This window comes from Homo sapiens, chromosome 8 (assembly GCF_000001405.40).
Source record: "Homo sapiens chromosome 8, GRCh38.p14 Primary Assembly".
NCBI lineage: Eukaryota > Metazoa > Chordata > Mammalia > Primates > Hominidae > Homo > Homo sapiens.
The window spans coordinates 129,878,826-129,902,600 of NC_000008.11; the positions used below are offsets into that span (position 1 = coordinate 129,878,826).

A 23,775-nucleotide genomic window follows, 5' to 3' on the forward strand; every position below is an offset into this window, starting at 1 on the left:
AAAATAAATTCCTGAAATAAATACATTCTATTTTTTTAACTTTTCAAATTATCTGCAAAGATTAAATAATTTAGGTTCACACTTACCTTTTAATATTATGCCCAAATTACTGAGCTCTGAATGGCCTTCATGAACAGATTGATATTTGAAATACTTAAATATGTACCCTACAATAACTGAAACCTGGTCGATTTTTCTTGACTATAATATAAGTTTTCCCCAAATATTGCTTCTATTAATAAATCTTGAGGTAGTACTTGTCCTTTCCAACAAAATTTTTTCATAAAAATGTTTTCATTAGAGAATAGATCGTAAATTACAAAATAATCTCCAACTAAGAGATATGAAATCTCTTATAAAAACTCAAAGACATTTTATCATCACAATTTAATCTATAAAATAGGACTTCCAGTTCTAGAAGGCACCAGAAATTTACTCAAACAATTCATAGCTCAGTCATGCAAAGCAGTTAAAAAGATGGCAAAGTGGAAACATTCATTTAGTGCAAGACAAACGCAGTCTACTGCAGGCAAAGAGAAATAGATATAAAATCATCTTCTCACTTTCAAAATCAAGGAAAAAATTTGGCCCCTGCTCAAGGTCTGTGCATGTCAAAACTTTAAGAAGATTCCCCATGTTAAGGTACCTGTCAAGACAAGAATGAGAAAAGAGAAAATATCCCTTTATAAAAAAGAACATCTGAAGTTTACTTAAAGAAAAATAGTAACAGGGAAAATGTTCATTAGGCCATGAATTCATTCTTCAGGTTACCCAGACTGTGCTCTGGCAGACAGCAAAACGGGTTCTCAAGGTGTTGATATGTAGGACCTAGAGGTGAAATGTGGTTTTCCTGTACACAATGGCACAACTGTTGCTCTAATTCTTCTCAAAATTCTCCCAAGACAAGTTTCATTAATGGCCTTATAATGAAAAATTCTTTAAGTATTCCAATAGTGCTAATATTCTGAAAAAGAAATTTCTGATCAAGAATTATTTACATGTAGTACTGTTAGTATAGCACTGAAACAACAATTTATTTCAAAGCCAAATATTAATACATTTGGCCATGTCTCACCTTTGCATCTCATCTTAAAACAGTATAAAACTTTCTTCCTGCATGCGGTTCAATAAAGCATATATTTCTAACCAAATTTGGATTGTCAATAATTTGTGGAGGTACGGAGACTACTGATTCAAGGTATGCAGCACAATTCTGATTTTTAAAATAAAATTATTACAGGATTATAAGCGAATATTGTTTGACATAGTCACTAAAGCATACTATTAGAATGTTCATCATAAGGCTACTTGCTTCATGGACTAATGAAAGGACAGCACTGGCTACACACTCAACATGATTTTAGCAAATGAAAAACTAAATTATACATATGATGGTGATGTTTGCCTACGATTAAGAAAAAATCATGCAACCTTTGTTTGATTCCCATGTTTAATTAACAAATATTCTGGCTGGCCTTCACTGTGGTGAGTATAATTCATCTTTCACCTTTACCATTATGCACCAGCTGTGAAGGGCTAAAGAGACTTACTTTCAAAGTCCAAGAAAAAATGTGCTGCATTGTGGTCTATGTCCCTGGTTAGCACCTTAATGAGATTACCCATGCCAGCAAACCTAAAAATAAAAATGGCAACATCATTTAGTTCCAGTAAAAAATTTTAAGCAGAGGCCTGGGATTTGGCAAAGGCTGGCTTGCTCATAATTATCAACAGGTGCAGGTTTATATGCTTTTGGCATTGAGAATTTGGAACAACAAAAGCACATTTGGCTCTGAGTTTATAGCTCCTGTCCCTCTTTTCCACATATCAAAAAAGTTACATAAAGCAAGATGGGAAAAAAGATTAGATTTTGACATATAACTTGCAATATTTACATTTTATTACTATCTATGTTAGTGTTACTCCTTTAAAATTTTTGAGGCATATATTTCTCAATTTAACAGCAAAACTAGATTTCTCAAATAAGTAACTATAGAAACCATTTTTTTAAATAATAGGGATATTTTCCTTCTTGCAGAGTCAAATCCTATTGGGAACACAAAGAAGAAAGTATTCAAACCACATTTAACCATTAAAGCCTAAAGAAAGTTATCAATTAATGACCCATCTAAAAAAACTTTACCACACATAAAATGTTTTTGATATCTTCTGTCTCCTAAGATTAATCAAACTTATTATTTAACTCTTAGACTGAATAATCAACTATACACAACTATACCATGTATGGAACTTAAAAGTTAACACAGCAAACAGGGAGCCAGCAATTATCACAACTTAGTAGGTTTGCGGAGGACAAAAAGTGAAAATACGGCATTGGCATAAATGTTGCCCAAGATTTCCATAATGCAGTGAGGATGAAAGTGGGAAATGGGGTCAGAAACATCCAGGAAACCAGGTTCAAACCTGGAAGGTAGAGTAACAAAAGGGGAGGCAAACTATGGTATCACGGCTACCCACATCCTCCTCCCTCCAACTGCTGTACTTTTCCTCCAATTGCTATGTGTTTTTCTCCAAAGATCCCGTTGCTGGCAAATGTAAATAAGGCAAAACATAAAACAATATTTTTATTAAGAAAAAAGACAACTTGCCACTCACTCTCATTATAAGAAGCTTGAAAAAAGTTAGCACTTCCCGTCACCTGTGGCATCCCCCTCTTCCACCTACTCTCCAACATCAGCATATGTTTCTAACTGTAAGCTTCCCATGAGGAAATACAAATAGCTATTTGCTTTAGAGGTCAAAGTCTGATGTACGGAAACACAAATTTCTTATAAAATGTTAAAAGCAATCCAATTTATTCATATATGGTAAGTACTGAATGGTTCTTCCCTTTTGAAACAATATTCCCCCAATGGGGGAGGTGGAGATCTATCTTCTTCTTATATTAACATTTCTATTACACAGAATTTCAATGGTCTGATTTTGTACAATACTTTACACAAGTGGATTAGGTGACATTAAGCTAAGAGGGAAATATTTAATATTTTGACTTAATTACTGTATACATTGTAAAACATTTAATAATACCAAGCTTTTATATTAAAGGAAAAGATAAACATTTTTCCTAAATCATCACACCCAAATAATTATCTCAAATTGGTTACTAAAGTTCTTCAATAGATGTTGGAAGAAACCATTTGGAAATAGCATATTTCACAGCTTTAATTTTTAAAAGCTTTCCAACATATATGGAATGACTGTATCCAAACATATATAAATTTTCTCACTAACAAGAACTGAGACCAAATACACAAAAAATTACCTAGTGGTATCAAAATTGGAACTACAGATGAAAAATATATCATGAGAAAGGACTATAATTATTTTCAGTAGGAAAAAGGCAGCACACCATTTGGTTTTAGGAGTTTAATCTATGGAATCAAACCAGAAATTCGACTCTAGCTTACTAGCTGTTTGACCTTAAGGATGGTAGTTAACCCTTTTGGGGACTCATTTCTTGATTGGTAAAACACAGGTAATTATAGTAAATATCTTAAATTCCTATTATGAGGGTTAAATTAGATTAAGCACTGACTCAGTGTCTGGCACACAGAAAACATTTAATAAATATTGGCTGTTGCTGTAATTAAAACCTAAATATCACAAAATAACCTTTTAAAAGTAATAATGGCTCTATTTCTTTTAACATAAACCTGAGTCCTTATCAACACATTCCAATGTTATAAATCAGAATGAAGCCCATATTTATCAAGAATATTGCTGAAATGTCCTAAAATTAGTTCTATTAACATCATCAGGTATGCATGGAGAAGAGGGAGATTAGGTTTCCTTACCTTTTTACGTGTATGCACACAGTCCAACCTTGGGGAAAATTTTGGAACTAGCCATGTACGTCTGCTCCATTTTCCTACAGCTCGTTCTGTAAACTTCTTCCTCTGTATATGGTTCTTCTTTCCAGGCACCCGAGGCTAATGTGATCCTCCCCTCCTCATACTTGGGAGTATGACCACTACCATCAGACTTGGTCCTGACCTATTTGCTCTCATAAGGATTGAGAATTTCTTGCTTATTTATCCCATACACAAACACTTAGTTTGAAAATGGCTCAGTTGGCTGGGCGCAGTGGCTCACGCTTGTAATCCCAGCACTTTGGGATGCCAAGGTGGGTAGATCACAAGGTCAGGAGTTCGAGACCAGTCTGGCCAACACAGTGAAACCCCGTCTCTACTAAAGGAGGCGGCAGTTGTAGGGAGCCAAGATCACGCCACTGCACACTCCAGCCTAGGCAACAGAGCTAGACTCCCTCTCAAAAAAAAAAAAAAAAAAAAAAAAAAAAGGAATTGGCTCAGTTTATCTAACACAGTGTTTCTCAGTCTCAGCACTACTAACATTTTGGGCTGAGGAGTTCTTTTGTTATTGGAGTCTGTCTCACATTGTAGGAAATACACCAACATCTTGGGCTTCAATCCACTAGATACTAGCAGCTACCCCCCATACAAGCTGTGACAATCAAAAATGTCTCTAGATACCGCCAAATATCTCCTGGGGGCAAAATCACCCGACTGAGAATCACTACAACTGTTGTCCAGCGCAAAAATTCGCTCTACCACATAGCACACAGGACAGATGCTACATAGGCAGCTCATATCACAATGTCTCTTTGAACAAAAACTCATGGAAGTTTTCAAAGCTCTAAAAACAGTCCCATTATAACATTATCGGTTCTCCTATCCTTTATAAGAATAAACAAAAAATTAAAACCATAACCCTATCTTGCTATATTTTAACCTGGCCAAAAACCAAACAAACAAACAAACAAAAAAAACCCCTGCTGTCCTCTCACTGTGACTGTTTTCAACTAATATAACAGTGGTTAATCATCAGCTTAGGTGGGACCAGACTGCCTGGGTCTGAAACCCAGCTGTGCCACTTCCAAACTTTGTGACTTCAGTCAAGTGTTTTTTAACTTCTCCATTCCTCAGTTTTCTCATGTGTAAAAGGTGCATATTAATAATATCCACCTCAGAGGGTTCCTAAAATCATTAAATGGGTTAATAATAAGCACCACATTTAGTGCCATACCTGGCAGTTTATTTACTATTACTGTTGCAGCTGTCAGAGCAACCTAACTAGGGGCTCTGTTCCCAGCAGCAGAACTTATGGAATGTGAGGCGTGGGCGGATGTGGCAGTCATACTTCCTGCCCTAGAGGATGGCAGTCTATCACAAGAGAATGAACCAATATTACAGTGCAAGGTCTCAAAGAGTGTCCTGGAGTCATTAATTTCCTTCCATTCATTCCCGAGTTCCAGCTGTCACTTCTCTCAGTCCAGCTGCTTGATTTTCCTCTGGTTTTAAGATACCCTAGTTTTTTTAAACTAATACCCCTTTTAGCTGTTGAGTTGGATTTCTGCCATCTAAAGGAGACTAGTAAGATTTCTAAGTTTCGGATGAATAAATACATTTGATATGAAAGATACCAAAGGATTTAAGATTTTTTTTGAGACGGGGTTTCACTCTTGTTGCCCAGACTGGAGTGCAATGGTACAATCTCGGCTCACTGCAACCTTCGCCTCCCAGGTTCAAGTGATTCTCCTGCCTCAGCCTCCTGAGTAGCTGGGATTACAGGCATGCACCACCACGCCCGGCTAATTTTGTATTTTTAGTAGAGACAGGGTTTCTCCATCTTGGTCAGGCTGGTCTCAAACTCCCAACCGCAGGTGACCTACCCGCCTCAGCCTCCCAAAGTGCTAGGATTACAGGCGTGAGCCACCAGGCCCGGCCGGATTTAAGATTTTAAAGCAGACCCAAAACACTATTGATATATTTTAGAGGTAACAAATATTATCATTTAGAATAATAAACTAAGTCTTACTATCTGAATTTAGAAGGGAAAAGCTAAAGAATCTTCTTTCAAATTATTTTCTATCGTAATCCTTGGATTTAAACTAAATATTGTATTTACTAAATAAGCTAAAAATAAATTTAACACAGATTTAATACACAGAAACCAGACATGGTTTACCTCAGGAGTTGTCCTATTTCTGGTGGAATTTTTTTTACTATGAGCCCTTACATTAGACATTTGTTTCCACGTTGACAACTTATCTGGAAAGGAACACGCCCTTCCTGGCCGGTAGTCTGTGGAATGTATTTTTAAGCTAACAAAAGGCACTTAAATACATTAGACCATTTTCCCATAAAACATTTGAAAAGAAGTTTCCTTACAGAATAATAGCCAATAGAAACAACTATACCCTACAATTACTATAATATTTCCTCTATCTTTCTAGAAGCTTCCTAAGAGATGCTGTTACTTCACTTACTTTTTCTCCTCAAGGTACTTTTTAATTTTGTCTCCTCTTCCTAGAATGCTAGTCCCAAAGATTTTCCCATGACTGGCTTCTTTCCATCCTTCAGGGCTCATCTTAAAAGGCATCTCTTTGAAGAGGCCTTTCTCTGCCAACCTTCTCAAAGGAGTTGCACCGGTTGCAACTTCTAGTGATAATCTTCTACCTACCTCTTCACTCAACTTATTTCTTAAGCATATTTATCACAATCTGAATTTCTCTTGTTTAGTGTCAGTTTTCCTCACATCCAGCTTATAAACGTATTAAAGACTTGTGACTGGCCAGTGAGAAGGAAGGGGAAGAAAGAAAAGTAACAAACACACTAACCAGCTTCACTTTAAATCAGGGTTTCTTAAACTCAGCAATACTAACATTTGAACTGTACAATTCTTTGCTGTAGGGGACTGTCTAGTGCCTTGTAGGTTGTTTAGCAGTATTCTGGGCCTCTGCCCACTAGATACCCCTTATCACCTCTGCTCCCAGCTGTGACAACCAATAACGCCTCCAGACACTGTCAAATGTCCCCTAGGAGGCAAAACTGCCTGTTGTTGAAAGCTGCTGCTTTTAACATATGACCACCAACCTGAAGTGCAGCCTCAGTTTTGCTACCTCACTCAATCTCCTCTCCCACTTTCCCAGGTGATTATTCCACACATTAAAAAAAATTCTTACCTTTCTCATGATCTCTTAAAAAAAAAAGAAGAAGAAAACCACAAAAACCCAACAACCCATCCTCCATTCTCACTTGCAGGAAATGACCTCACTGTATCTTTCACACACAAAACACATAAGCATCTATCTTTTCTACCATCCTTTCTTCAGTAACCATACACCCACCCTCTGTACCTGTTTTCCTGAAGGACAACCTTTCTTCTGGGGCACTACTTCTCCTGCCTGCTTTTGTCTCCTCAAGGACTTCATGTGCCCTCTACTACAACATCATCTTTCCTGTCCTCTTTATAGCAAGACTTGTCAAATGAACTGTCTGTAGCTGTTTCTTTCCACCTTTCAAACTCCGATTCTTTCAACTCATTCCAGTTTGGCTTTTATGCCCACTACAATAAACCTGTGCCTGTCAAGGTCACCAAAACTTGCATTTGGCTAAATCTAAAGGACAATTCTCACACTTCAACTTACTGAACTAGCAGCTCTTGACCCAGTTATCACCCACGCCTTCCTGAAAACACTTTCTTCAAAATTTGACATTCTGAACAATACATTATCTTGAGTTTCCTTCCTACTTCAGTTTTTCTTTTTCAGTACCCTTCTGTTTGGCATAAATACATTTATTTCTTCCATCTTAAAACATAAACAGAAATGTACCTTGATTCTATTTCCCTCACCAGCTCCCACCCTATTCCCTTGCTTCTCTTTGCAGCAAAATTCCTTAAAAGGAATAATCTAACACTCAGCATCTTTTGTTTCTCTCCTTTCGTTCTCTATTAAACCCACTGCAATGTGGCTTTTATCCCCATCCCACACCACCAAAACTGCACTGGGAAGGCCATCAGGTAACTTCCACGTTGCTAATTCCAGTGTCAATACTCAGCCCTCACACCTTACCTTGCCTGCCAGGAGCATCTGCCCTGACACTCCCCTCATCCTCCTCAACACACTTTTATCATTAGCTTAAAGGGCAGCACGTCTCACCTCCCCCACTGCCACACCTCCCTACTTCTTGCTACCCTCACTTCCTGCTAGGGTTGCTGGTCTCCCTGTTTCCAACCCAGCCTCCTCCTACAATCTCTTCCACATATAAGAGGCAAAGCACTCTTTTAAACATATAAATCATCCTTTCTCTGCTCAAAGCCATGCAATGACTCACTAACACACTCAAAATAAAATCCAAATTCTTTACCAGGTTGATATGATTTGAATTTGTGTCTCCGCCCAAATTCAATGACAAATCAAAGACAATGGGGAAAATGCCTTGAAGGCATCTCAGAGACCTTTGTGGCAGCCCCTCCCACCACAGACTCAGAGGCCAAGAGGGGAAGAATGGTTTCACAGGCCAGGCCCAGGGCCTGGCTGCCCTGGGGACACTGCTCCCTGCATCCCAGCCACTCCAGCTCCAGCCACGGCTAAAACAGTCCTAGATTATGTCTCAAGCTGCTGTTCAGGCAAGTAGAAGCCATAAGCCTTGGCAGCTTTGATGGGTGTTAGGCCTGCAGGTGTGCAGACAGCAAGAATTGTTGAGGCTTGGGAGTCTCTGCCTAGATTTCAGAGGATGTATGGACATGCCTGGATGTTCAGGCAGAAGGTACACTGCAGGGGCAGAGCCCTCATGGAGAACCTCTACTAGGACAGTGCACTGGGGAAATGTAGGGTTGGAGTCCTCACTGAGGCACTGCCTAACATAGCTGCGAGAAGGGGGCCACCATGCTCCAGACCCCGGAATGGCAGATCCACCAACAGCTTGCACCATGCACCTGGAAAAGCCACACTCAATGCCAGCCCTTGAGAGCAGCCATGGGAGGTAAGCCCTGCAGAGCAAGAGGGGCAGAGCTGCAAAAGGCATTAGGAGCCCACCCCTTACATCAGTGTGGCCTGGATATGAGACACGGAGTCAAAGGAGATTATTTTGGAGCTTTAAGATTGAACAACTGCCCTGCTAGGTTTCAGATGTGTATCAGGCTTAAAGCCCCTTTGTTTTGGCCTATTCTGCCCTTTTGGAAGGGGAGTATTTAAACAATGCCTGTACCCTCATTGTATCTTGGAAGTAACTAACTTCATTTTGATTTTAAAGACTCATAGGTGGAAGGGACTTGTCTCATCTCAGGTGAGACTTTGGACTGTGGACTTCTGAGTTAATGCTGAAATGAGTTAAGACTTGAGGGACTGCTGAGAAGGGCTGATTATATTTTGCAATGTGAGAAGGTCATGAGATTTGGGAGGGGCCAGGAACAGAATGATATGGTTTGAATTTGTGTCCCTGCCCAAATTTCATGAGTGTTGGAGAAGGAGCCTGCTGGGAGGAGACTGGATCATGGGAGTGGACTTCCCCCTTGCTGCTGTTGTGATAGTGAGTTCTCATGAGATCTGGTTCTTTTAAAGGGTGGGGCACTTCCCCATCTCTCTTCCTCCTGCTCTGGCCATGTAAGACGTGCCACCTTCCTCTTCGCCTTCCGCCATTCAAGGTTTCCTGAGACCTTCCCAGCCATGCTTCCTGTACAGCTTGCAGAACCATGAGTCAATCAAACCTCTTTTCTTTAGAAATTACCCAGTCTCAGGTAGTTCTTCATAGCAATGTGAGAACAGACTAAAACAGAGGTCCCACAAAATCTTACACAATCTGCTCCGACACACTCTGGCCTCATCTTTCTTTACTCTCCACTGCACACATGCGCATCTAACCACAAAAGCCTGCTTGCAGTTTCTGCTGCTCAGTAAGGCCTCACCTCTTCAGAGAGAATCCTTGAGCTACCTACCCACCTATAAATGCCCCTTCCATCCTCCTCTCTATCCCCTTCCCAAACTGATGGTTCGTACCATCTAACACACATTCCTGTTACTCTTATCTATTTACTCTGTCTTCCTCTGAGTAGGCAGGGGTTTTGTTTTGTACACTACTCTATCCTGAGCACTTAGAACAATGCCTGGGATGTAGTTGGTATTCATTAAGTATTTGCTGAAAAAATACATGATTAAAAATAGAGAGGCCAGGTACAGTGGTTCATGCCTGTAATCCCAGCACTTTGGGAGGCCGAGGTGGGCGGATCACCTGAAGTCAGGAGTTTGAGACCAGCCTGGCCAACATGGTGAAACCCCATCTCTACTAAAAATACAAAAATTAGCTGGGCAGGGTGGCAGGCGCCTGTAATCACAGCTACTCAGGAGGCTGAGGCAGGAGAACTGCTTGAAGTAGGAGGCAGAGGTTGCAGTGAGCCAAGATCGCACCACTGCACTCCATGGGCAACAGAGCTAGACTTTGTCTCAAAATAAAAATAAAAATAAAATCCTAGGACCCTTAAGAATTATACTACATCCACTCTGCCTGTGCTCTCTAAATGGTACAACAAAGCCTAGATGACAGCATATCTGTTTACAGCATGGTGTACTCAATATTCTAAGCCCACCATTGAGCCCTATTCCTCAGAAAAAAAATATTCGTTTCAATAAATTACTGCTCACTGATAATGCACCTAGTCAATCAAGAACTCTAATGGAAATGTGTAAGGAGATTAACGCTGTTTTCATGCTGCTAACACAATATCCACTCTGCAGCTCATGGATCACAAAGTAATTCTGGCTCTTAAGTCTTATTATTTAAGAAATACATTTCTTAAAGCTAAACCTGTCATAGATATGGATTCTTCTGATGGATCTGAGAAAGTAAATTGAAAGCCTTCTGGAAAGGATTCACCATTCTGGATACCGTTAAGAACCTTTGTGATTCATGGGAAGGGGTCAAACATCAATAGGAGTTTGAAAGAAGTTGATTCTAACTCTCACAGATGACTGTGAGGGGGGTTCAAGACTTCAGTGGAGAAATGGCAGATGTGGTGGAAATACCAAGAGAACTAGAGTAGAAGTTCATCTTAGAAGGGCCTTTAAGATGTGACTGAATAGCTGCAATCTTATGATAAAAACTTGAGTGGATGAGGAGTTGCTTCTTATGGATAATCAAAGAAAATGGTTTCTTTCCTTTTTTTTTTTTTCTTTTGAGACAGAGTTTCCACCTTGTCATCTTGGCTCACTGCAACCTCAGCTCTCGGGTTCAAGCAATTCTCGTGCCTCAACCTACTGAGTAGCTGAGACTACAGGCACAAGCCATCACAGCCAGCTGATTTTTTGTATTTTAGTAGAGATAGGGTTTCACCATAATGCCCAGGCTGGTCTCAAACTCCTGAGCTCAGGCAATCCACCCACCTCGGACTCCCAAAGTGCTAGGATTACAGGCGCGAGCCATTACTCCCAGCCGAAAATGGTTTCTTGAGATGAAATCTACTCTGGTGAAGATGTTGTTTAGACTGTTAAAATGAGTATCACATGAACACAGCTGATAAGCACTGGCAAGGTCTGAAAGTACTGCTTCCAATTTTGAAAGTTATACTGTGGGTGAAATGTTACCCAACAGTATCATATGCTACAGAGAAATCTTTCATGGAAGTGTCAACTGATGTGGCAAACTTCATTTTTGTCTTATTTTAAGAAATTGCACAGCCACCCAACCTTCAGCAACTACTACCTTGATCAGTCTGAAGCCATTAACATCCAGGCAAGACCCTCCACTAGCAAAAAGGTTAAGACCTGCTAAATGAAGGCTCAGATAAGTGTCAGCATTTTTATCAATAAAGTATTTTTAAATTAAGGTATATACACTGTTTTTTAGACATAAATCGTATCAATAATCTCAGTAACCCTTCTGAAAATATTCAAGGCACCACCCTCATCAAATATTGCCCGAAGTCTGCTTATTGAACGGCTTCTAAGAAACTGTACCATCACTTGAAAGCAGGCCAGGCGTGGTGGCTCACATCTGTAATCCCAGCACTTTGGGAGGCCAAGGTGGGGAGATTACTTGAGGTCAGGAGTTTGAGACCAGCCTGGCCAACATGGCAAAACTCCGCCTCTACTAAAAATACAAAAATTAGCCAGGCGTGGTGGCACGTACCTGTAGTCCCAACTACTCAGGAGGCTGTGGCATGAGAATTTTTTGAACACGGGAGGCGGAGGCTGCAGTGAGTCAAGATTGCACCACTGCACTCTACACTCTGCAACAGAGTGAGAATGTCCCAAAAAAGATAAAATTTAAAAAAAAAAAGAAAAAATAAAAGAAGAAAAGAGAAGAGAAGAGAAAGCAAGCAATGTCACCAAAAGGAAATGAAAAGGTGGGAAGAAGAAAAACAAAGGGATCTTTCAAGTCCTGTCATAATTTCTTCCAGCAGTAAGACAGCTAGGGTTCCAAGCTCTAGCTTCTTGTGGAACTCCCAGCAGCAGTGCATTATCTGGCCCCCTTCAAAGGTCTGAGACTCCAGGCCTATGGGGTTCTTCCTTCAGGCTCCTAAATTCTCCCAAATCCATCTCTTCTCTTTTGTTCCCTCAGCCCTAAAAGTAATTGCTGCTTCTTGTGGTTTCTATTAATATCTAAGTTACCTCAGCAATCTCTTTTGGCTCAGGTTTCCAACACTTGTGAACTAAATACATATATTAAAATCCCTCGTTTTCTTTCTGCTTTCCTGGTTGGAATTTGACTGATATCGGAGAAGTTCTAGAGAACAGCTTAATCCTTAACCTTACTAACACTATCTAACTCACTGCTATCAAGTACTAGTTTAGCTATTAATAAAGTGATGCTTTGATTCTCCATCTTTTGTGAAATGTAAAGGAAGAGACAGAGAGATTAGTACAACAGGATTCAGGTATTCCTGGATGCCAGTGTTAATATCAACATAGTAGTACTAAAATCTCCCCATGAAGCCCTAGCAAATGTTAAGATCCATATATTTTAATTTTAGCTACTAAATTACATGCAGTTAACTCACTTGACTTAAAGAAATGTGATATAACAATGGATTAAAAATTGGGAGACTTGATTTCTAGTCCTGACTCTATCATAAAATGCGTGCCTTTATACAAGTCAGTTTACTTGTTAGACTAAATCTCTTACTGAGCTTCTGGCTATTATTCTACATCCATTCCACTCCATCTTGCCTAATGCTGACATCTAGTGGATGGATACACTTAGACTTCATATTATAGAATGAAAAATCTTATTTCACCTATTTCTGTTGGGCCATGTGCAATGGATATAATAAATTAGGAGACCAATACTGTTCCTTACATGGAAGTGAAACACAATAAAATAGTATTAGATCAGATTGTCATGGTATCTTTGAATCTGATTCAAAGATTACTGGCACTCTTCCATGATTCCAGCCATTAAATGTTAAAAAAACCTCTATTACAGGAGGTAGGAAAAGGAAGAGTTTAACCACCAATGCAAATTACTGTCAGAGCCACATATTTAGACCATGAAAGCACAGAAACACATCCTGCTACAATGGTTTGCATCAAGTACAGACAAAGAGTATGAGAAGGGCTAGTACAAAGGCTCAAGGCAAGTAATACAGAAGTTTCTGGAATGGAATATGATGGAAATATGCAAAACAACTCAAAATGACCTATTTTATAAGGACTTACTATGAAAGTTTCTCTTGAAAATACGTTATCATTAGACAAATATAGTATTCTGAATTCATTTTGCAAACATTATTTTAAAATCTATGAATGCAAAATGAATTTTATTTCATGTCAACAACTCAAAAGAAAAGCCTGGTCACACAAGTCCACTGTCACATTTAATTACCAAAATTGTCAGAATTTTTTTTTTTTGTGGAGTAGCATTCTGCTTTTAACTATGGCTTTCTTTATATATCATGCTGTAAAATAAATATATGCCAATAGTTTCAATGATTACTTCTGGAAATATTTTATTTTAGAAAAGTTTCATTTCATTATATATTTCAAAATTACACTAGGCTGATGTAAAACGCAAGAGCAATGGGCACAATTGGGTGGAAGTGTAAACTACTATGAGAAGTTTGGGAAATTAGTCTGACATTCCTTCTGAAGTTCATGTGCAATATTCACATAATGAACTATAATACTGTGCAAACAAATTAACTCCAGCTACATACGATAAAGATGAATAAGAGAACTATAATGCTATCGGCAAACTGTACACAATATAATACCATTAAATCAAACATCATATTAAAGATACTGGTTATTTATACAGGGGGAGACAATCATAGGATTGGGCAACTTTAAAAACCTGAGAATTATTCTAGTTCCTCAATTAGCGGCGGATTTGTGGGAGTTTTATTTTTAGGCTTCACAATTTACAAATGAAGTATGCACACTCTTGTATGAATCAGTAATTTTGAATGTTTAAAAATGTAAAGCCATTGATGCTCAGAGAACACGTATGTCTCACTGAAAGATGCCCAACAAAAAAGCTTAGAATGGAATTCAGGTACCTACCTCTTTCTAATACACATGCTACAACGCATGGATGATCAGTTTTTTAAAATGTATCATTATATAAGCCTCAGATACTTCTATATATTTAGCTTTTACAGTATCAGTGGTGGTAGTCGTTTTAAATCAAACAACATTTACTTAGCACCTGTCTGCCAATGGCTATGATGAATACTGAATATCTGGTGCTGAGGAATTCACAGACAAGTGGAAGAGACCAGACAAGCAAGTGTGGGTATGCTTTCATAAAGAAAAAAGCAAAGGGCATTCTGAACACACAGAAAAAAGAATACCTAACCCAGTCTTGGTAAAGTAAATAAAAGCTTCCCAGAAGGGCTGATTCTTAATTCTTTCTTGTTTGCTATTTATTTAAATTAGGAAGTAATTCCAACATAAAGTATAAAAAAAAATACTATTCACAGTCTGTCACCCAGATTAAAACTATAACAATTTAGCAATAGTTGCTTCAGATGGGCTACTTTTTTGTGTGTGCAGTTGACCTCCCAACCTCTTTCAATCAACTTTCCTCCCCTCCTCTCTCACTGAAGATAATTAGTATCTTTTTAAAAAAATTATTAGATAGAGATGGGTTCTCGCTATGTTGTCCAGGCTGGACTTGAACTCCTGGCCTCAACCGATCCTTCCACCTCTGACTTCAAGTGCTGAGATTATAGGCATGAGCCATCACACTAGGCCTTTTTTTTTTTTTCCAGCATGGTTTCCTTGCCAAACATATTTTAAGATTTTTTACTCCAAAGGTATATATTCATCATAAACAATACAGTATTGTTCTGCTTTTCAATTTGCATACGTGATATACTGTGCATTCTTTGAAAACTGGATTTTCTCACTCAATAGTTTTTAAAAATTATTAATATGTTCATTGTAGCTATTACATACTATTGGATTATTCAAAGAAACCAGTTTATTCATTCCTCTACTGATTGACAATGAGATTATTTTCCACTTTTAAATATTAACAGTTATGCTTTACACCTCCATACACACACTACATATACTTAAGCTCATGTACAAGAGTCCTATAGGACAGCTGTCTGAAAATGAAAAGGCAACTGTAACTTTAATACATGGTGCTAAATTGCTCTCCCAAGTGCTTCCATCAATTCTGTTCCACAGGTACAAAGATTTCCTATTTCCTGTCCTCCAAAACCTCAAGTTTAATTTTTAGAGTCTGAAATGTCTCACTGATGTTTAAATTTGTATTTTCTTATCAGTAAAAATGTGCACCTCTTTGTATTATATGTTTATGGGCCATCTGTGAAGTGTATATGCATTTCCTTTGTCACCTATGGTCCTTATTTTTCTGTTGTTTCGCAGCCCCACTCCTACCTTTCTGCACTGCTGGGGCTGAGAATGCAAATGACATTTCCCAGACATCTTTGCCAGCTGGGTTCCTGTTAGGAGGAACTGGAGGGTGAGAAGACAGGAGGAAGAGAGAAGTTACTGATTAGAACAGGCTAGCAGTTGTTGTAGGAGCAGTGTGAATAGTATCCAATACCCTAATTAGGGACAGGTGCAGCCTGTAGGTTCCAGCCTAGTGGTGGCAGCAGCTTGTCTCTGGTAAAAGCAGCATCATAATTTCTTATTTTATTTTTGCTACTCTGTTCTCTCCCTTGTTCCTTTTGCTCTTCCAGCTTTTCTAGTATCTTTGTAACCAATCTTCTATATTAAATTGTTTGAAATATCCAGAGTGGTAAGTTTTCCTAACTTAACTTCAACTGTCATACCACTCTTTTTTCAAACTGAGTGTTAGAAATATATATATATATATATTTTTTTAATTAATTTATTTTTTTGAGACAGGGTCTTGCTCTTTTTCGCCCAGGCTGGAGTGTAGTGGTGTGCTCACGGCTCACTGCGACCTCAACCACCCTGGCTCAATCGATCCTCCCACCTCTGCCTCCTGAGTAGCTGGGACTACATGCCCGTGTCATCATGCTAGTGTGTGTCGGCGGGGTTGGGGTGGGGGTGGGGGTGGGGGTGGGGGCAGGGGCAGGGGGAATACTGTTGTTGTTTGTTTTTTTTTGTAGAGACAGGATCTCATCGTGTTGCCCAGACTGGTCTCAAATTCATGGCCTTAAGCAATCCTCCCCCACCCTGGCCTCCTAAAGTGCTGGGATTACAGGCATGAGCCATCATACCTGGCAGCTTTAGAAATTCTGGATACCACCCTTTTAATGCTTATATACAAGGCAGATACTTTCTTCTAGGATCTAACATATCTTAACTTTGTTTATGGTGTTGTTTGTCATAACAGTCCAGTTTTTCATTTTTCTTCATGGTCTGTGCTTACTGTTTAAATAATAATTCTTCAAAATTGCCTTATTCTTGCCCTTTTATTCACTCATGTGATTGTCAAATTCTACAAAAAAATTCTGATGGGATTTTGATTTGATTTTGCATTAAATATATAATTGCCATCTCTATAATTTCAATCATTTTGTCATTTAATCTATGAATATGACAGATTACATAAATTCATTTTCTGTTGCTAAACCATTCTTGCATTCCTGAGATCAAGTCTGCTTGGTTGGTTATTTATTTATGTATTTATTTATTTATGAATAAATGAATGAGGGTGAATGAATAAATTTGAAACACGGTCTTGCTCTGTTGCCCAGGCTGGTCTTGAACTCCTAGGCTCAAGGAAACCTCCTACCTCAGCCTCCCAAGGTGCTACAACTACAATTACAGGCGTGAGCCACTGCACCTGGTTTATTTGATCATTTAAAAATATATATTCCTAGATTTGGTTTTGCTAACATTTCACCTTGGATTATTTTGTAAGACTGACCTGTAATTTTTTTCTCTGTTCCTGTCTGGTTTTGCTGTCAAGCCTATTTTTATACATAGATTTTTCTATTATTTAGAACCATTTATAAACAATACAATGTGTCAATTACTCAGTGAGTTTTATAGGAAAGTTCTTCCAAACATCTAAGAAGTCTACATCTGTTTCATTTTTGAAACTCCAGCCTAACAGACATTCTGTCACACAGCCAGTACTCAATAAATATTTGTCAAATTAATAAATGAACAATTCAAGTAAAAAGCAGCTTATTTATCCAAAAAGAGAATACCTAAACTAAGGGCATCCCATAAAAAGAGTAGGTTTAGGTCAAATTAAACAAAGTGCAACTTAATAAATTAGGGACTAAGTTTATGGAATAATCCCTTAGTCTTACCTACGAAGGGATAATTCAAATACAAGATCTATAAACATCAAGAAAATCAAGGACAAGGTTAACAGGCAAAGGTTTACTGCTAAAACATTAAAGCTGGCCTGGACAGCAATGATATTTTCCCACAATACTCTTTACCACCTCTGAGCTAATCTTCAATGGTGTTTCCCATGTTCTTATGCATTATCGCAATGAGAGTTCAAATCCTTAAAAATCCTGATGACCAACAGTCATCTTCAGAAGTAGCAATTTTAGTTTTCTGCTTTTTGCACAGAGAATAACTAAGGGCTACAGAGACATTCTCATCCATTACTTATAAACATGCCACCCACCTCCCCAGAGTGAGAGTCTCTGGTGCCTCTTCCAGTCACCAAACAGCAGCAAAAAAGCAAGGAACTTAAGGACCTACTGCCAAGTAAACAGGCCTTGTGGCAGTGAAAGGATAAACTGTCCATCATTCTTTCTTCTCCTCGGAGATTTCACAGGAAAAGGAGAAAGCGCAGGAAACAGGAGGCCTACAATTGAAAGGAAATCTGCCAGAATTTGGCATATAGAAGTAAAGTGTCATTCCTAGTCACCTCACTATGACTGAAATGGATAAGAGATTCTTAAAAATTGTTCTGCTTTCTCTCATAATTTGAGTTAAAAGATAAGGTATTCTCTGAAGTTAAGTATCCCTTAATTTCTGGGGTTGACTAGGGGCTCTTCTCAACACTATAGTCACTGTGAAGAGTGAAAGACAACAGGCAGAATGGCTTTATATCCCATTACCAATAAATAAGAGAATCTCAGACCAGGAAGGGACCATTCACGGTCAAATGGAAGACTCACCCTTGACTATTTAACCTTAGTATGAATCTATTCTACAACATATCCACACCAAGTAGCCATCTCACCACTGCTTAAATACTCTACATGACTTAAATTTTAGACTTTGGTCAATTTTTAGAAAAATTTGTAGAAACTTAAGACAATGACTGAATAAGCACAATTAAGACATGAATTCTACCCTCGAAAACCATACAATCCTTGTATTAAACTGAAATTCACCCATTTGTTAACATCTCCTCCTTGGTTTAAATTCTCTTTGGCCTCCTAGAAATAAACTAAACACAATCCCTGTGCTACTTAACAAACCATTAAATATATGAAGTATCTTAAAACAACAGTCAAATGAGGTCAAAATAAAGTTACCCATCAGATTATGTATGTTCACATTTGCAAAGGTACAAACAAGACATCTCCTATCTAGTAATGCCAGCCAAGAATTTAGCTTCTGAGTAGAGTTTATAAGTGATTTTCTAGGTAGGGAGAGGCATGGTGGGCGGCTAATGCCTATAATCCCAGCAGTTTGGGAGGTGGAGGTGGGAGGATTGCTTGAGCCCAGGAGTTCGAGACCAGCCTGGGCAACATAGCGAAACTCCATCTAAATTTTTATTTTTTGAGACAGAGTTTCACTCTTGTCACCCAGGCTGGAGTGCAGTGGAGCAATCTTGGCTCACTGCAATCTCTGCCTCCTGGGTTCAAGTGATTCTCCTGCCTCAGCCTCCCAAGTAGCTGGAATTACAGGCATTTGCCAATACGCCCGGCTGATTTTTGTATTTTTAGTAGAGATGGGGTTTCGCCATGTTGGCCAGGCTGGTCTTGAGCTCCTGACCAGGTGATCCACCCGCCTCGGCCTCTCAAGGTGCTGGAATTACAGGCGTGAGCCACTGTGCCTGGCCCCAATCTAAAAATTTTTTTTAAGTTTTTTTGTTTTTTTTTTTAAAGGAATACTCATCACAAAGACCTTGTTAAACATTATAGGCTAAAGAACCAAGGGCAGTGGAAACTTTTTTCCCTGTGATCTTAACTTCTGTTTCCAAAGCACCCTGCAGAGGGCTTTGCATGACGTTAGTGCTAATGTTAAGTTAATAAATGAACGTTTATTGTGGCACATACAATTCATCCAAAAACAATTAAGAAAAATTTCAAGTGTTCCTAAAAGAAATTAGTACTAAAACTTCTAAGTTAGAAAAAAAATTTCACTGGAAAAAACTTTTTTAAGAAAAGCAGTAAGTATGTTATGGATGGTTGGATGCAGAAGCTAAAAGTAAAATAAATTTAAAAAAGAAAAATGTATGCTTATTAGGAAAAGAAGACGGATGTTAAGAAATGTTCTTAAATAGTTTTCAACAGTTTGTCAGGTCTTTCTGTTTGAGCCTTGTACACTAACGGAATTTAATACAAGTGAAATTACAAAAGGCACAAATGTTTTCCTGGTTCTTGAACTTAATTTAACTGAACTAAAATTAAAATCATTCTCTTAAATCTATCTCCTCCAGGCTTATCATAACCAAACAGAATACAAAAACATATTTTTCTTCTCTTGGTAATAGAATTTTAAAGATATGTACTTGAATAATTTTCTACATTAATAAATCAGTATCTCTTACAGTGCTAAAAAGAGTCCAGCAGAGGTCATTCATTTACATTCTGATGTTGCCAAGGAGGTGGTAATTATAACTGAATATATACAGTTTTACTTTGCCTTTCTTTTTTTTTTTGGAGTCTCACTCTGTCGCCCAGGCTGGGGAGTGCAGTGGCAGGATCTCGGCTCACTGCAACCTCTGCCTCCCAAGTCAAGTGATTCTCGTGCCTCACCCTCCCAAGTAGCTGGGATTACAGGCATGTGCCACCAGGCCCGGCTAATTTTTGTATTTTTAGTAGAGACGGGGTTTTGCCATGTTGACCAGGCTGATCTCGAACTCCTGACACCTCAGGTGATCTACCTGCCTCAGCCTCCAAAGTACTGGGATTTACAGGCATGAACCACTGCACCTGGCCTTTCATTATATCATTTTTTAAAATACAATTTTACTTCAGAAAGAAGTAAAATTTTACAGCAGAAAGAGATCCCCCTCAGTAAATTTAAAAAGCAGGTCCCATAATTATTTTCAAATGACAAATGACAAGGCCAGGTATCTTTGTAAATAATTTTGCAAAAGCTGGTTTGTTTTATTTTAAAGGCTGATTTATATAAAATAGGAAGAAACCTATGTTTTCTTAATACTGTGGAATAAGCTAATTGTAAATGAAATGTTGAGATCATTATTAGGACCAAATGCAGTATGTGCATATCATATAAATTTTTTTAACTAAGTATGCCATTAATTATTACACCTTCTAGTTTCACAAAGCATATAAAAAGGAAATGTTTATATAAAGCAAAGTTCAAATCACTAAACCACTTTGAATTTTTACTGTCAACCTACATAACAGAGAGAGGATCACAAAGAAAAGATGTTTATTTCAGAACAGAGCATTGCAATAGGAATATGCATAACATAGTAAACTATGCCATACATATTCAGGGAGGTAAAGGAAGACAAAGGTTTTTAAAGGAGAAACAAGGGTTATATAATAGTTTTGAAATAAATATCCTTAGCTACAAAGATCAATAACAAGGGTGACACCAGTTGGAGGCTGAACAGGCAGTTGCTGGGCAGATGTCCTTGCAGAAGTACTATTTTGTGTAAGGTGGTGATGGCCTTTGTGTAAGGATATGGTCTTTGTAGTCTCTTTCATTATCAGGCATACAAGTGTGAGAACACTCTCTTCACAGCCTTCCCTGGCTCTGTACACAGCTTCCCTGGGTTTCCTTAACATTAGTAACTCCATTTTGATTCTGAAGACTTTCACTACCACATGTCTAAAGGTGCTAAAAAAACGGAGAAAGGGGATGACAAAGGATAGAAAATCTGAGCCCAGACTAAAGGGTTTGTGAAATGACTTGAACGAGCTCAACTCCCTAATTTTATGAAAGAAGGGAAATAAAGACTAGAGCAACCTGGTGACTTGGACAAAGCAGCAAATGAGTAAAAAAAAAATGTGGGGCTTAATCCACTGACTCTGGCAGTGCAGCTTTTGAGAACCTCTTTAAAACATGGCATCAGGGCCAGATGACATCAAAAGAATTAAGTACCACCACAACAAAGGAAACAAAAACGAAAGTCACGTTCCCAACTATGTCCCCTTTGAAATGATTGTTAATGCTGTTTTTGCTGTTAATCAAACTTTAACAGACCTGACATTCAATTTGTAGTCAGTGTCAGCTGCTGGGCAAACACTGGGATTCGGGGACATCATTCTAGGCTCTTTCTAGATCAGGCTGAAACTTACCACCGTACAGCTTATACTACTGATGGAACTGCAAAACAGCTGGTGACTTTCTGCAAGTCTCTACCTTTTTCTTGTTTTCAAAACACAATTATCAGAGCACTACTATTCGTATCTTTCCTATGGCAATGATGGCGTTTCTCTTCTTAAAATTTTGGTGTCTCATACTGATATTTGGGTTTTGGGAGGGTGTTTTTTTTGAGACAATGTCCTGCTCTACTGCCTAGGCTGGAGTGCAGTGACACGATCTAAGCTCATGGCAACCTCCGCCTCCCAGGCTCAAGCGGTTCTCGTGCTTCAGCCTCCTGGGTAGCTGGGATTACAGGTGCGCACAACCATGCCCGGCTTGTATTTTTAGTAGAGATGGGATTTCGCCATGTGGGCCAGGCTGGTCTTGAACTCCTGGCCTCAAGTGATCCACCCACCTCGGCCACCCAAAGTGCTGGAATTACAGGCGTGTGCCACCACGCGCCCAGCCCTGATACTTGTTTTTTACATATTTACTTCATGTTCTTTGAAGGCAGGCACTCGCCAAGGCTTAACACTTATTTTCTACTCTCTTTCTCCACAAAATTTGGGACTACAGCCTGGGACTACAGGCACACGCCACCACACCTGGCTAATTTTTTGTATTTCTAGTAGAGATGGGGTTTCTGTTATTATGGACCAGCAAATAGAAGCTTCTTCAAAGCTATTTCACAAACTTCTAGCCTACATCATTAGGATACCTTTTTTTTTTGAGAGACAGAGTATCTAGCTCTGTTGCCCAGGCTGGAGTGCAGTGGTGAGATCTTTGCTCACTGCAACCTTCCAGGTTCAAGTGATTCTCATGCCTCAGCCTCCCGAGTAGCTGGGATAACAGGCAGGTGCTACCATGCCTGGCTGATTTTTGTATTTTGAGTAAAGACGGGGTTTCACCATGTTGGCCAGGCTGGTCTCAAACTCCTGACCTCAATCCACCTGCCTTGGCCTCCCGAAGTGCGAGGATTACAGGCATGAGCCACCGTGCCCGGCCTGTAACTACTTAAGATTAGTCATATAGAATGTGAAAAACTACGCTTACTGAAGTATGATGGAGAAAGGTCTAGCTGAATTTTCACTAACTGAGGTTCTTAATATGGGGAGTCCATAGAGAATTCAGGGATCTGTGAATATGGATGGGAACCTTTTCACTAACCTCTATACAAAAATTAACAATTCCTTCAATCAAGAATATTAGTAACAAACTACAGTAGTATTAGAAAACCTATGAATTTGTCATTAATAGAAACCATGGGTATTTTTGTATTACAATTTTTGCACACAACATCTATTTAAAATTATGATATATAGTATATTTACTCCTAATGCTTATTCTCTAACATGAGAAACACACATATTAATGTAAGAAGCACACATATTAATGTAAGAAGCACACATATTACTTATCACAAATTTGTATTTAGTATTTGTTAATGGCTTTTCAATGTAACGTTTCCTTCTTAATCCTATGTAGTTTACTTCATACAATCATGAATCATTATTAGAATCATTATTCTGAGGCAGGATTCATAGGCTTCATAAGATTGCCAAAGAGGTCCTTGGCACAAAAAATACTCGTTAAGAACCTCTGAACTGTAAAATACAGAGTAAGCAAGGTGATAACAATTCTGAAGGACTGTCATAGAAGTAACTGTTGTACCAGCTCTAATAAAATGATGGGCTGGATTTTTGTTTTTGTTTTTATTGTTTTTGTTTTTTGACACAGAGTCTCACTCTGTTGCCCAGGCTGGAGTGCATGGCGTGATCTTGGCTCACTGCAACCTCCACCTCCTGGGTTCAAGCAATTCTCCCGCCTCAGCCACCCAAGTAGCTGGGACTACAGGCACACGCCACCACACCTGCCTAATTTTTTGTATTTCTAGTAGAGATGGGGTTTCACCATGTTGGCCAGGCTGGTCTTGAACTCCTGACCTCAGGTGATCCACCCACCTCGGCCTCCCAAAGTGCTGAGATGACAGGCATGAGCCACTGCGCCCACCCTTGTTTTTGTTTTTAGAGACAGGGTCTTGTTCTATCACCCAGGTTAAAGTGCAGTGATGCAATCTTGGCTCACTGCGGCCT

The 23,775-nt window shown here is 38.9% G+C and overlaps 1 protein-coding gene across 84 annotated transcripts in view, besides 5 other annotated features; it reads right to left on the bottom strand.

Annotated features, from left to right (window-relative positions):
- The window catches only part of CYRIB (CYFIP related Rac1 interactor B), a 177,537-nt gene that overhangs the window by 39,233 nt on the left and 114,529 nt on the right, over nucleotides 1-23,775 (bottom strand). For 24 of the 84 annotated variants that reach the window (NM_001353245.1, NM_001353252.1, NM_001353246.1 and 21 more), the window contains one exon: nucleotides 564-646. The exons of 25 other annotated variants lie outside the window; for them this stretch is intronic. In NM_001353245.1, coding sequence (NP_001340174.1) covers nucleotides 564-636 — 73 coding nt within the window. In that variant the 5' untranslated portion in view covers nucleotides 637-646. Of the gene's footprint in view, nucleotides 1-563; nucleotides 647-771; nucleotides 791-1,550; nucleotides 1,634-3,812; nucleotides 3,832-17,846; nucleotides 18,030-23,775 lie in introns of those variants that run through there. 35 more of the 84 variants (NM_001353305.1, NM_001353304.1, NM_001353308.1 and 32 more) reach the window with 10 other exon arrangements.
- Nucleotides 8,020-8,533: an enhancer, noted in NCBI's record as "H3K4me1 hESC enhancer chr8:130899091-130899604 (GRCh37/hg19 assembly coordinates)". NCBI's record gives its function as "activates a minimal SCP1, AML or CMV promoter by ChIP-STARR-seq in primed H9 embryonic stem cells {active_cell/tissue: H9 hESC(primed)}" and the evidence as "EXISTENCE:reporter gene assay evidence [ECO:0000049][PMID:30033119]".
- Nucleotides 8,534-9,045: an enhancer, noted in NCBI's record as "H3K4me1 hESC enhancer chr8:130899605-130900116 (GRCh37/hg19 assembly coordinates)". NCBI's record gives its function as "activates a minimal SCP1, AML or CMV promoter by ChIP-STARR-seq in primed H9 embryonic stem cells {active_cell/tissue: H9 hESC(primed)}" and the evidence as "EXISTENCE:reporter gene assay evidence [ECO:0000049][PMID:30033119]".
- Nucleotides 9,283-9,332: an enhancer, noted in NCBI's record as "active region_27971". NCBI's record gives its function as "activates an Ori minimal core promoter by ATAC-STARR-seq in GM12878 lymphoblastoid cells {active_cell/tissue: GM12878}" and the evidence as "EXISTENCE:reporter gene assay evidence [ECO:0000049][PMID:35858748]".
- Nucleotides 9,843-9,952: an enhancer, noted in NCBI's record as "active region_27972". NCBI's record gives its function as "activates an Ori minimal core promoter by ATAC-STARR-seq in GM12878 lymphoblastoid cells {active_cell/tissue: GM12878}" and the evidence as "EXISTENCE:reporter gene assay evidence [ECO:0000049][PMID:35858748]".
- Nucleotides 20,884-21,084: a silencer, noted in NCBI's record as "peak7177 fragment used in MPRA reporter construct". NCBI's record gives its function as "represses an SCP1 promoter by STARR-seq MPRAs in K562 erythroleukemia cells {active_cell/tissue: K562}" and the evidence as "EXISTENCE:reporter gene assay evidence [ECO:0000049][PMID:32103011]".